Here is a 13,464-nt window from a genome sequence, read left to right as displayed (position 1 = left end):
CTTATTATTACTGTTATTACTACTACCCCCATTATGCAAATGGGAAAACGGGTGCTCAGAGACTGTGACCTGCCTAAAGCTACACAGTTCGAGATAAGATGTTTTGTAATCCAAATCCTCCCCTTCACCACACTCCTTCTGAAACTATCCATGAAATTTACCTTGGCCCTCTCCGACACTTGGCTCCATATAGACTTTGACTTTTGCAGGCTCTTCTAGCCTTCCATGGAGCTCACTAATTTAATACCTTTCTTCTCCACTGGACTGGGAGTTAGCTCTTGAGGAGGAAGGGCCACAGTTGTTTACTTTGTAGCCCCTGTGCCTAACTCAAAGCCTGGAATTTAAACTGTATTTCTTGAAGGAAAGCATTTGAGTGTATAAAGTCCAAGGAATAAGCAGTGCTTCCTGTGCCTGTGGTCCATATTTGGGACCAAAGCCTCTCCCTGAGCTCTGGAACTGTCCCCGTGCCCCGTGTACAGCGTGAGCCTCAGCGCCACCCAGGGCACAGGACCCCGGCTGGCTCCCCATGGTGAGCTCCAGCCTGGCGCTTTGATGCCATTGTTTGAACTTTGAGATTTAAAACATTCAAAAAAATATTCACCTTGTGAAGTAGAAAGAAATGTTGCATCATTTTCAAGAGGTAAAAAAGATCAAAGACCAGTTTTTCATGACTTTTCTCACTTGTGAAATTTTGTGAAACAAATGGAAGAAATGTCACCTGCTTCTAGGAAATTTAAGTCTTTTTTTCTTTAATATTTGCCTGTTCTACTTAAGTGTCACCTACCAGAAGTACACATGGTTAAGTCTTCATGTACATGCTTTCCACTCATCTACGTACTTAGGCTGCTGACAGCAGGATAATATTGAGAGCCACACTGAATGTGAGTCTGGAACCATAATCCTTAGGTGAATAAATATCAGTAAAAAGGGAAGGTCAGTGGATACCACCAGATGTGCATTTAATTTCTCAATTTTCTCAAACTCCACTGTGCACAATCAGCAAAAAACTATTGAAAAAGCTATAAAGATAAAAAATAAAATGCTGTATTTTGTGTATAAATGGCCCCTAAATGCAAACCAATTCTTCCATTTGGTGCTCATTTGAAGAGGACTGAGCTGGTTTTGGCACTACCATAAGCAGGCCTTCAGTGCTACTGCACCACCTGAATACACTTTCCTAGTCTGTTTTCTTCTTCATTCTCCTTGGTAACTGCTTCTCACCCTTCCTGTCAAATCTCCGACACCTTTCCTCTCTCCTCACTGTAAGATAATGAATTTCCTTCTGTTAGCTCAGAAATATTGAAAAGGATTAGAGGAGAACCCCCAACAAGCCCCACTGTTCAGTGCTCCCCCACTGTCATCTGTACACATATTCTCTCCCTTCCCTACCTGAAGCTCTGGCCAATCACTTATTGTCATCTGAGACCACCTCCTCTACTGTGCACCAGATCCTTTCCCTTTTCTACTATCCAGGGGCATCACACAAGCAAATGGCCCCCTCCTCCTACATCATCAATATTTACGTCTCTCCAGACTCATTCCGGTAATCACACTTACATACTATAGTACCTCCTACCTTTAAAAGTCCTCTGTTGACTCTGCACATTCTCTCATTATCTCCTTAATTTGCTGTATACCTGTACAATAAACCTTCTCGAAAGAGTCATCTATACTTGATGACTCTCGTTTCTCCCCTCCTATCCTCTCTCAAATCTATTCCACAGGACTTTGGTGTTTTCACCCCTGTGCTCTATAGAAATTACTCTTGTCAAGGTTACCAATGACCTCCAGGTGGCTGAATCCAATGTCCCAAGTCCCCGTGTAACTTGATCCATCATTTGGTGTGGTTGTCCCTCTTTGCTTCTGTAAACACTTTGGCACTAGGAAGACATGCTCCTTAAAATATTTTTATTATTAATATTATTTTTAATTGTAAAATTATAATTGTATACATTTATGGAGTACGATGTGATCTTTTGATGTATGTATACAATGTGGAATGATTAAATTCAGTTAAGTAACATCCATTACCTCATTTACTTATCATTTTTTAAGTGAGATGTCTGAAATTTACTCTCTTAGCAATTTTGAAACATATCACACACTATTATTGGCTATAGTCACCCTGCTGTGCCATAGATCTCAAAAACTTATTCCTCACCCCTGTAATGCTAGCACTTTGGGTGGCCGAGGCAGGCGGATATCTTGAATCCAGGAGTTCAAAACCAGTCTGGGCAACATGGCGAAACCCCGTTTCTACTAAAAATAGAAAAATTAGCCAGGTATGATGGCCCATACCTGTAGTCCCAGCTACTTGGGAGACTGAGGTGGGAGAATTGCTTGAATCTGGGAGGCAGAGATTGCAGTGAGTCGAGATCACGCCACTGCCCTCCAGCCTGGATGAGGAAGCGAGACTCTATCTCAAAATAAATAAATAAACACACAAACAAACCAAAAACCAAGAAACAACAACAACGAAAAACTTATTTCTCCTGCCTAACTGAAATTTTGCTTCTTTTGACTAGTAACTCCCCATTTCCTTTCTCACTTTCCCTCCCCACCCCTGGTAACCACCATTCTATTCTCTACTTTTATGAATTTGGTTTCTTTCGGATTCAACGTATAAGTGAGACCATGCAGTATTTGTCTTTGTGTGCCTCGCTTACTTCGTTTAACATCATGTCCATCAGCTTCATTCATGTTGTCATAAACGACAGAATTTCCTTCGTTTTAGAGGCTGAATAGTATTCCATTGTGTATATATACCACATTTTCTGTATCCATTCATTCATTGATGAACATTTAGGTTGAGTCCGTATCATGTTATCGTGAATAATGCTGCAGTAAACATGAGAGTGCAGCTATCTTTTCCACATATGTATTTCAATTCTTTTGGCTATATATCAAGAAGCAGAATTGCTGGATTATGTGGTGGTTCTATTTTTAGTCTTTTGAGGCACCTCCACACTATTTTCCATTATGGCTGTACTAATGTGTGGTCCTACCAGCAATACATAAGGGGTCCCTTTTCTCTACATTCTGACTAACACCACAAATAAACTCACACATTTATAGTCAGTTGATTTTTGACAAAGGTGCCAAAGACATACAATGGGGAAAGGGCAGTCTCTTCAATAAATGGTGCTGGGAAAATCAGATATCCACATTCAGAAGAGTAAAATTGGATCTCCATCTCACATCATATTAAAAAATAATCTCAAAATTGATTGAAGACTTAAACAGCAGAGCTGAAACTGTAAAACTACTAAAAGAATATATAGGGGGAAGCTTCACAACAATGCTCCCGGCAATAAATTTTTAGATAGGTTCCCAAAAGCACAGGCAACAAAAGCAAAAAATAGACAAATGGGATTTCATTAAACAAAGCTTCAGCACAGCAAAGGAAACAATTAACAAAATGAAAAGATAACTCAAGGATGGAAGAAAATATCTGCAAACCATATGATATAGTTTTGATATTTGTCCCCTCCAAATCTCATGTTCAAGTGTCATCTCCAGTGTTAGAGGTGGGAGATAGCAGTGTTTGTGTCATGAGGATGGATCCATTATAAATAGCTTGATGCCCTCCCCACAGAAATGAGTGAGTTCTCACTCTATTAGTTCACCTGAGAGCTGATTGCTTAAAAGAGCATGACGTCTCTCTTGCTTCCACTCTTGCTATGTGATGTGCCTCCTCCCGCTTTGCCTTCCATCATGAGTAAAAGCTTCCTGAGTCCTTTCCAAAAGCTGAGCAGGTGCCGGCACCATGTTGCTTGTACACCCTGCAGAAGCATGAGCCAAAAAACTGACTACCTTTTCTTCATAAATTACCCAGCCGTGGGTATTCCTTTATAACAATACAAAACAGACTAACACACCATACATCTGATAAGGGATTACTATTCAAAATATATAAGGAACCCAAACAAGTCAACAAGAAAAGCAATAACCCAATTAAAAAATGAGCAAAGGGCCTGCACAGACATTTCTCAAAAGAAAAATTTAAAAAGGCCAACAGGTTCATGAAAAACTGCTCAAAATCACTAATTATTAGGGAAATGCAAATTAAAATCACAATGAGATATCACCTTACACTGTTTGAATGGAAGACACACTTTTTATTCTCTTCTGATATCACTAACTGCTAGTTTTTAGTCTTAGTTGGTTTATCAAGCAGGAAATTTCATCCAGTTTGAGGTGGTGGGATTGTGATGCAGTGGTAGTTTTTAAAACATCTTTCAAGTTATCACTGAAAGACAAATGGACCAACCACCATAGTGAAAGGAAAAAATATGCATGACAATCATCCTCAAGAAAACTGGATGACAGAAAATCTTCCCAAATCACGAATTCATGCATATCAGCCAAACCTCTACCAGCAACAGGACTGGTGAGGGATCAGCAGTTGTATAGTGCAAGTGATAGAAAAATGAAAAGCAGCCAGGAGCGGTGACTCACACCTGTAATCCCAGCAATTTGGGAGGCCGAGGCAGGTGGATCACTTGAGGTCAGGAGTTCAAGACCAGCCTGTCCAACATGGTGAAACCCCGTCTCTACTAAAAATACAAAAATTAGCTGGTGTGGTGGTGAATGCCTGTAATCCCAGCTACTTGGGAGGCTGAGGCACGAGAATCACTTGAACCCAGGGGGTGGAGGTTTCAGTAAGCCGAGATTGGGCCACTGCACTCCAGCCTGGGCGACACAGTGAGACTCCATCCCTCCCTGTGGGGGAAAAAAAAAGAGAGAGAGAGAGAGAGAAAGAAAAATGACTACACTTAGCTTTTGCTTTATGCACTCATTTTACAACTTAACCCTCTGACTAATATTTGACACCATTATAGAAGACAGTGTCCATATGGCCTCTTTCATAAAATAGATGACAAGAACTTGGAGACACAAGGGGATGTAAAGTCTCTGAGCACAAACAGCAAATGAGTGCTGATGTGAATGGCCCTAAACATGAAATATATTGGAAAAAATGTACTGGGCTCATAGTCTCAATTTTAATAATTCAACCCAAATAACATGAGGCTTTCTTGATTCCAACTCAAACCTCATGTCAACCCAGTACCATACACAGAAAAACCCATAAATCTGACTCCAAAAAGCCCTAAGGGGTAATACAAGTCTTTAGTTGAAGTTTTTATTTTTATGAGGTTCTGGAGGAGGGGGCTATTGCATTGTCAAAAATACGCTCAGATTTCATAACACACTCACCATACATTGTTCCTCCTCCTCCTCTTTTTTTTTTTTTTTTAAAGAAAAGAGCTCATTTATTTGGTAAATTGAAAACTAATAATAGCCCTAATTAAACACTTTACTTCTCTCACTATAGGGCAAAGTAAGAACAAATGAAAGCATGTCAATCCCTAATGTTAAGTGAATTATCCAGAATGATATAATTTACAGCTGGTGGATCTGAACACTGACTCTGAAAACCCAGGCTCTTCTCACTCCATTACATCTCACTACTACCAAGGTGACCCTCAAGTGAATCATGAGTTCCAAATCCTCTTAATTTGTTTTTCTTTATCACTTTTATTTAAGTGCCTTGTGTATTATTGACCTTTTAGTTTTTTAATTAAAACAAACCCAACATTTTTTTTTTCTGTTCACCTCTTCATTCTTACTCACTGCCATGGTTTTAAAATCTCCTCTCAAATTTCTAGTTTTTTGTTTTTTCAGAAGTTAATCCAAATACACTCCCATTATCACCTGCCTGTCTTTATTATCACTTTCCATCTACAATTTACAAATTTTATTTGGAGCTTAATTTCTAGAAATGTGCCAGAAGCAACTTTTTTCCAAAGCTGGGTGGGGTGGGGGAAGGAATTTTTTTCTTAATATTTCTTTCAGTAAACAGTTCTATTGCCTCCCACGCTGGTCTTCATAAGACAGCCTCAGGGAGAACCTCTGCTAAGGCAGTGTGGAAAGGAAGTGTGGCGCTGGAGCCCCCACACAGAGTCCTCACTGGGGCACTACCTAGTGGAACTGTGAGAAGAGGGCCACCATCCTCCAGACGCTAGAATGGTAGATCCACCGACAGCTTGCACCGTGTGCCTGGAAAAGCTGCAGGCACTCCACACCAGCCTGTGAAAGCAGCCGCAGAGGCCATACCCTGCAGAGCTACAGAGGAGGAGCTGCCCAAGGCCATGGGAGCCCACCCTTTGCATCAGCGTACCGTGGGTGTGAGACATGGAGTCAAAGGAGATCATTACGGACCTTTAAGATTTAATGACTGCCCCATCAGGTTTTGGACTTGCATGGTGTCTGTGGCCTCTTTGTTTTGGCCAATTTCTCCCATTTTGGAATAGGAACATTTACCCAATACTTGTACCCCCCATTGTATCTTGGAAATAACTAACTTGCTTCTGATTTTACAGGCTCATAGGTGGAAGGGACATACCTTGTCTCAGATGAGACTTTGGACTTGGACTTTTGTGATAATGCTGGAATGAGTTAAGACTTTGGGGGACTGTTGGGAAGGCATGATTGGTTGTGAAATGTGAAAAGGACAGGAGATTTTGGAGGGGCCAGGGCAGAATGATATGGTTTGGCTGTGTCCCCACCTAAATCTCTTCTTGAATTGTAATCCCCAAGTGTCGAGGGAGGGACCCGATGGGAGGTGATTGGATAATGGAGGTGGTTTCGCCATGCTGTTCTCATGATAGTGAGGGAGCTCTCATGTGATCTGATGGTTTTAAAAGGGGCAGCTTTCCCCTGCGCACTCTGTCTCTCTCCTGCCACCATGTAAGCCGTGCCTTCATTCCCTTTCGCCTTCTGTCATGATTGTAAGTTTTCTGAGGCCTCCCCAGTCATGCAGAACTATGAGTTAATTCAACCACTTTCCTTTATAAATTACCCAGTTTCAGGTAGTATCTTTTTAGCAGTGTGAAAAAAGACCAATACAGACAGCTTCTAGCAATTTTACATCACTTTTATGTTCAATGGGAATATTTACAACATAGGTCAACCTAGTTATCATGTTAAATAGAAGGTGTGGACCAGTGGTTCTCAGTCTTGAGAGTGCATAAGAATCACCTGCAGAGCTTGTTCACAGACTTTTGGGCCCACCCAAGAGTTTCTGATTCAGTCTGAGGTGAGGCTTGAGAATTTGCATTTCTAACAAGCTCCCAGGTGATGCTGATGCTGCTGTTTGGGTACCTCTCTTTTGAAAACTATTATAATGTTTCTAATATTTTAAATATTTTTGGCTTTATGGAAGTATAGTTGAATACAAATTTTATATATCTATGGTGAACAACTTGATGTTTTGATTTACATATAAATTCTGAATTGATTGTCCACTCTTCTTAAAGTTTCTTATGTCATCTAGCCTTTTTTCCTTCCTACCTCTCTAAACTCCCAACCTACCTTTCCTTCTTCCCCCTTGTGTTTACCATTTCCTCCATCTTCCTTCTACCACATATCTCTATGACATTTATGATATAGATCAGTTTAGCTTTTCTTTGTTTTTAGTTCGGCAACAACCCTAGTCCCAGGTCAGCACAACAGACACAGAGCAGTGTGAACAAAGGTCCTCCCTTCCCTCTCAGGCACCAGCTGAGCAGCTTCTACTGTAGCATTCATCTATACCACTGTGTGGATTCTCATTCATCTACTCTCTTGCTTCTTAGCCTTGTTTAATTCCCCAGCCCTTACCATGCAGCCATTTTGAATAAACTCTTGTAAAGTACAGAGGACAGACATTTGAAATATCCACTTCTCACCATTAAGCATGCAACAGGATATGCTTCTGCCACGCCCATCTAATTGGGGTTTATTTGCTTAATATTAAAATGCTCTCAGATATACATAAGCCATCTGCTTTTCCTCCAGATTCACTGAGCCCTGATGCATTAAGCATCTGTAGAGCTATTTAATTTTATGTCATTAAGGATGGGAATGTGCAAATGTAAATACCAATTGGAAAGCTTAAGTAGTTTTTCAAATTTTTCAATCATGCTGTTTACTCTATTATTATTCTGGATTAGTCTACTTTAGGTACAATTTCAGAGTATCATCAAAGTCCTACTCCAATATTTAGATCCCAAATGACAAATTTAATGGCCTTAGTTAACACCCCAATGATGTAGGCTTAATTTTATGGTTCACCTATTTTTGCTATTTACTTTCCTGAGCTTGAGCCAAGCTGAAAAAACTATAAGAAAGCAGAGTCTGATTTTCCATGAAATAAAATGCCACCTTCCTTGTAAAGGGAAAACCTAGATTTTCCTAAGATGACACCTGAAAGGACTCTCCAGATGGAGATGGAGGAAATGTAGGTTACATTTCTCTTCTCTCGGTTAATGCCTTAGTCAAATTCCCTTCAAGGAGATGCTCCTTCTCTGGAATGTTCCAGTTAAAATGAGGAGCTGAAACTCTGCTCTCAGTAGCCTTTGACACTGCTGGTTAAAGACCATAACATTTAATGAATGAATGAATGAATGAATGAACTTGAAGTGTCCAAACAGGTTTTATGAGGAAAGCCTAAAATGTCTCCTTCCTTGATCTGTGGTGCCTAGCCACTCAATCCTTTTTCCCAGAGATGACCAGTGCAACTGATTTCTTTTACATCATTCCTGAGACATTCTACACTTAGACAAATCATCATACAATCCCTTTCACACTTTTCACGAACATGGTGGCATACTGCACCTACTTCTGCATGTGGCTTTGCCCTTTACCCTATCTTGGAAATACTCCAGCACACAGACTCCATTCTTTTCTGATAGCTGCATAACGACCCATTGCATGGCAGTACCATAATTTATGTAAGCAGTTTTCCCCTGGTAGGCATTTGGGTTGTTTCTAATCTTTTCTTACTACCAAAATGCTTCGATGAAAGCAGTGAATGACTTTTTTACACATATGTGGGTATATCTGCAGGACAACTTTCTAAAAATTTCTGGGTCAAAGGGTACGTGCATCTTTAATGTTAACACATGGTGACAAATCTACACTACTGATATTCCAATTTAAAGTCTTCCCAAAGTAATTAATGCATTTAAAGAGCTTATAAAAGGCTCTGGAATAATGTAAGGGCATTAAACCAGTGACCTGAAGTTAGATAAGATGGTTTATAAGTTATGGGGCATGCTTCTTTCATTTGTGCTTTTCTTCCTGGCTCTCAACTTGCTTTTACAGGGCAGAAATTATCTCAATGAGAAAAGGTAGTTACTTCTACCCCCTTATCTGCCTCATTCATTTCTCTAAGTCACAAAGAAACATAGGCTGCCTTAGGTAATGCAACTCAAAGAAGAGAAAGTTACCAGGACTCTTTTAGCATAGTATTTTTCTCATTTCCATCCTTCCAACCCCAACATCAGGCCCAACCAGAACAAATACCAGAGGCTAAGGACAAGAGTGATTCGTTTGCAAAAAGGCTGGAGAGACAAAGGGGCCATAGAAGGCTGAAAAGGAGAAACAGGACATGTGAGAGATTTTTCCAGTGCCGGGAGAAAGGGGGCCATATGGTGCCTCTAGAGAATAATGTTGTGGTGGCATTATTTACTCTCCAGGTTTACATATTATTTTTGTAACATGCACAGAGGATGAAGATTAAGACAGTCACTATTATTCTATGGAAACTTAAAGTTTGAGTACATTTTCTTTTTCTCCTAATTTTCCAATTTTCTTAAGTGTTGGTAAAATCCTAATACATCAAATACACATTACAATGTAAAAAATACTAAACGAAACTATTTGTAATAAAAGGTTGTGTGGCAGAGTTTGCTATGTGTTCACTATATTCTATTTCCTTTTCTTTTTGGGCCACAGCTAGATCCTGTTTTTCTGCTTTCCTTGCTGTCTGGTGGGATACTATGATTATGTTCTGGCCTGAGGAATGTGGGCAGAAAGAGGTAATGTGGACGACTTCCAGGCCTGGCCCCTAAAAATTTCCCCATGCAATCACTCCTATTTTCACTCTTTTTTCTTTTGTACCTAGAGGCAAAAAAACAAAACAAAACAAAACCTTCAGGATCCTAGGCTTTCACAAAACCAGAACACAGAATGAGACTGGGTCCCTGAATCTGCTTGGAGGTGAGGTACTCAAGAAAGCTTGAGTTTTATGCCCTCATTAACCGGATGTTAGTTTTCCTTTTGGACTGGCCTCTGATGACAGATTGCTCTTATGCACGAAGGCAAGTATAGGATTCAACTTCGTTATGCAGCTTTCCCCAACCAGAAAAAAATCTTGCCTTTAACTAGCAGAAGGGATCAGGTAATTCTTTTTGAAAGAATTCTTTTGAAAGAATTTGCATGCTAGAATATACTTCTGAGTGTATAAACTCTATACTGGTGGCCTCTAGCCCTTGGAACCCATGGGCCACAGGTAGAGTGAATCATGGCTATATGAAAAACTTGACCTATGGCATGGGCAAGGGAAGGGGAGAAAAGGGAAAGTTGAAAGGGTGGGATGGGTGAGGGTGAGGGAACACTAACACTTGGAGGGGACTTATCGATATATCATGGCCTGTGTTGTCTGTTTTCCATAGCAACCCAATGGGACAGGCGTCAGCCTCTCTTTATATAAAGGCAAGAGAACTCAGGCCCTGGGAAGTTTCACTGATTCAAAAATATGGAGTAAATGAATAGTAGAACTGGCACTAAAGTAACATAGAGAGGGGCATCCCCAAGTATAAGAAATACAGAGAGATCAGAGATACAGGAAGGAAAAGTAAAGAATAAAAGAGAAGTGGTTGGGAGTGGTGGCTCATGCCTGTAATCCCAGCACTTTGGGAGGCTGAGGCGGGTGGATCACTTGAGGTCAGGAGTTTGAGACCAGTCTGGCCAACATGGTAAAACCCCGTCTCTACTAAATACAAAAATTAGCTGGGTGTGGTGGTGCATGCCTGTAATCCCAGCTACTCTGGGAGGCAGGAGGGTCACTTAAACCTGGGAGATGTAAGCTGCAGAGTGCTGAGGTCGTGCCACTGCACTGCAGCCTGGACGACAAAGCGAGACTCTGTCTAAAAGAAAAAAAAAAAGAAGAAGAAGGAAAGAGAAGAAAGTGGGGTGGCGAGGGGAGCAGTGCTGGGTATGGGCCCCGGGTCTCAGTGGCACCTCAACTCCAGCTACTGATTCCTCTTTTTTCTGAACATATTTTCTCTGTACCAATGCCTGCAACTCAAGGAAATTGCTTGAGCTGTTTTTTATTCACCAGGACACTTTGTCCCTTAAAGACACGTTCAATTAAAGAGTTCTAAAAGTATTGCATTAACAGGAGATATCCAGTCTTCTTTTATTTTTCATCACCAAAATGACAAAGACAGAATCAAGCACCATTAGTGCTGATATTTCAGTTCATGTAAGTCTTCATTAGAGCTCTTTAATGTAACCATTTAAAGAGACATCAGCTTTTCAGAAAAACACTCTGAAAACAAACTTAATGAAGTCATTTCTACATAATCTGGAAGCAAAAATGTCTTTTGTGATTGAATTTCCTTTTCCGACATATTGACTAATGTCAGATTATTATGTGTCAGTGAGCTGAGCAAGCACATACTTTGCTCTGCATTGATATCTGTATATTCTCAAAGGATTAAGATGGCACAAGCTGGGAGGAATGACATTAAATTTAATTTCTGCTCAAGCAGAGGAAGAGTGCAGTGTCCTTTTTCTTTGCCAACAATTCTGGTTTTTAAAGATACATGCAGTTCCTAGTATTTGCTGGGATTTTATACCCAAAGAGGTGGTATTGAGGTGATTAGCCTTACCCACTGCTATTAACACCTAACACCCTCTCATGGTTTCCTAGTGAATAAAACCTCAACTTCTTGCCTTGATCTACAAGGCTCTGAATAATCCAGCTACCTCCTACCTCCCACCTGTCCAGTCTCAAGCCTCTCTCCTAAACTTACTAGGCTCAACCACAGAGGGCTCCTCTCAGTTCCCTGAACATTGTTCACCTCTTTCCCATCTCATGGCCTTTGCACTTACTCTTTTCTCAGATTGGAAGGCATCTCCTGAGGTTCTCTGCATCACTGACTCCTCGTTCTTCAGGTCTCAGCTCAAATGCTGCTTCTTCAGAGAGGTGTTTTCTGGCCACCCTATTGAAGGTAGGGCACCATGATCTCACATCCTTTTCCCCTCTATCACACTGTTCTGTTAATTTTTGTAAAAAATGCTTTCTGGTTCTGTTCATTTTTTTGTGGCACTATAATGTAAATTTATTTTAATGAATTTACTTTTGCTCCAAGTTTACAATGAGAAAAGGTCTAGTTGGTCCCTCAATGTGTAATTACGACACTTCGAATGGATCGATTGTGTCTGTTTGGTGTAAGGCGAGCTCCAGAGCCTGGCACATTATAGAAGTTCAATAACTACTTGTTGAAAGATTGAATAAATAAAACTGCTGGTATAATAAGATCATGGCTTTTGATGAGCTTGCAGGATCTTAGAGGAAGAGAGAGGTGCTACAACACTGAAAATGGGAAATTCACATGAAAATTTTCAAAAAGTAAAATCAGATTTCACAAATCATAAATTGGTGAATTTAGTGGAAATTCCAGGTAAGATGCTAAGATAATTTATAACATTTTATACAAAGCAATGGCAATCTTTAGGAATCAATGTAAATTCTCAAAGAGCACTGCTGGTTAAAAAAAAACCTATGCTTTTCATAAAATTTATATATTAGACTGCACTAGAAAGATTAGGAAGATGTTGAATCTGGGGTTTAGAATGACACTCTAAAATAATGCATCACCTCAGTTCTTAGGAAGCACATGAGGCTTGACTGATGTGACAATTTGGTGATAATATCTTACTAATTCTTGCTTATTCAATAATTTGCAGCATCTGGATAAAAAGATGTTTGCATACTTGCAGATCACATGAATCTGAGAATAAAAAATAAGTTGATTTTTAAAATATCAACATTTAAATTGATCTTATTAGATTGAAATGATTTGCTGAATCAAACAAAATTAAGTGTAATAAAAGTCAATATAAGTGCCTGAAATCAAGTCTAAACATTCATTGAGCAGATACAAGATGAGGAATTTTTACTTAACACTTACCTTTGTGTGCAGGGCAGGGAATGATAACCTTATGGCTCCAGGTTAGAAAGGTTTGATGGGAATGAACAAGGTAATGTGATTGCCAAAAAAGCTAATTAGATTCCTATTTACAAAGCACTCAGAGAATTCATGATGTCATAGGTGTATTTAGGGTTCAATGTCTAATAATGGAAGTAATACTAAATTTCTTAGGGTGTAGAAAGACCAATTCTGCCAAGTAGAACCAACATCTTCCACAGAGTAAATGTTCAATAATTATATATATACATATTTTTCTTTTTATTAAAAAATGTTTTTTCGAGACAGAGTCTCCCTCTGTTGGAGTGCAGTGGCATGATCTCAGCTCATCGCAAGCTCTGTGATTTGGCTTGGCTGTGTCCCCACCCAAATCTCATCTTAGATTGTAGCTCCCATAATTCCCACATGTTGTGGGAGTTAT

At 39.9% G+C, this 13,464-nt stretch overlaps 1 protein-coding gene across 2 annotated transcripts in view; it reads right to left on the bottom strand.

Annotated features, from left to right (window-relative positions):
- Nucleotides 1–3,360: 3,360 nt before the first annotated feature.
- Nucleotides 3,361–13,464, bottom strand: part of NKAIN3 (sodium/potassium transporting ATPase interacting 3) — a 750,799-nt gene continuing 740,695 nt past the window's right edge. The window contains exons 6-7 of one of the 2 annotated variants that reach the window (NR_130764.2): nt 11,944–12,845; nt 3,361–3,782 (exon numbers count right to left, since the gene is read on the bottom strand). Coding sequence is in view for 1 of the 2 variants with exons in the window: in XM_017013359.2 (XP_016868848.1) it covers nt 3,679–3,782 (104 nt within the window). In the remaining variant the exon portion in view is untranslated. The remainder of the gene's footprint in view (nt 3,783–11,943; nt 12,846–13,464) is intronic. The other variant, XM_017013359.2, reaches the window with a different exon arrangement.

The sequence above is a fragment of the Homo sapiens genome, chromosome 8 (genome assembly GCF_000001405.40).
Source record: "Homo sapiens chromosome 8, GRCh38.p14 Primary Assembly".
Taxonomy (NCBI): Eukaryota; Metazoa; Chordata; class Mammalia; order Primates; family Hominidae; genus Homo; species Homo sapiens.
The sequence above is the reverse complement of the archived record's forward strand: the minus strand, read 5'-3'. Positions and strand labels throughout refer to the sequence as shown.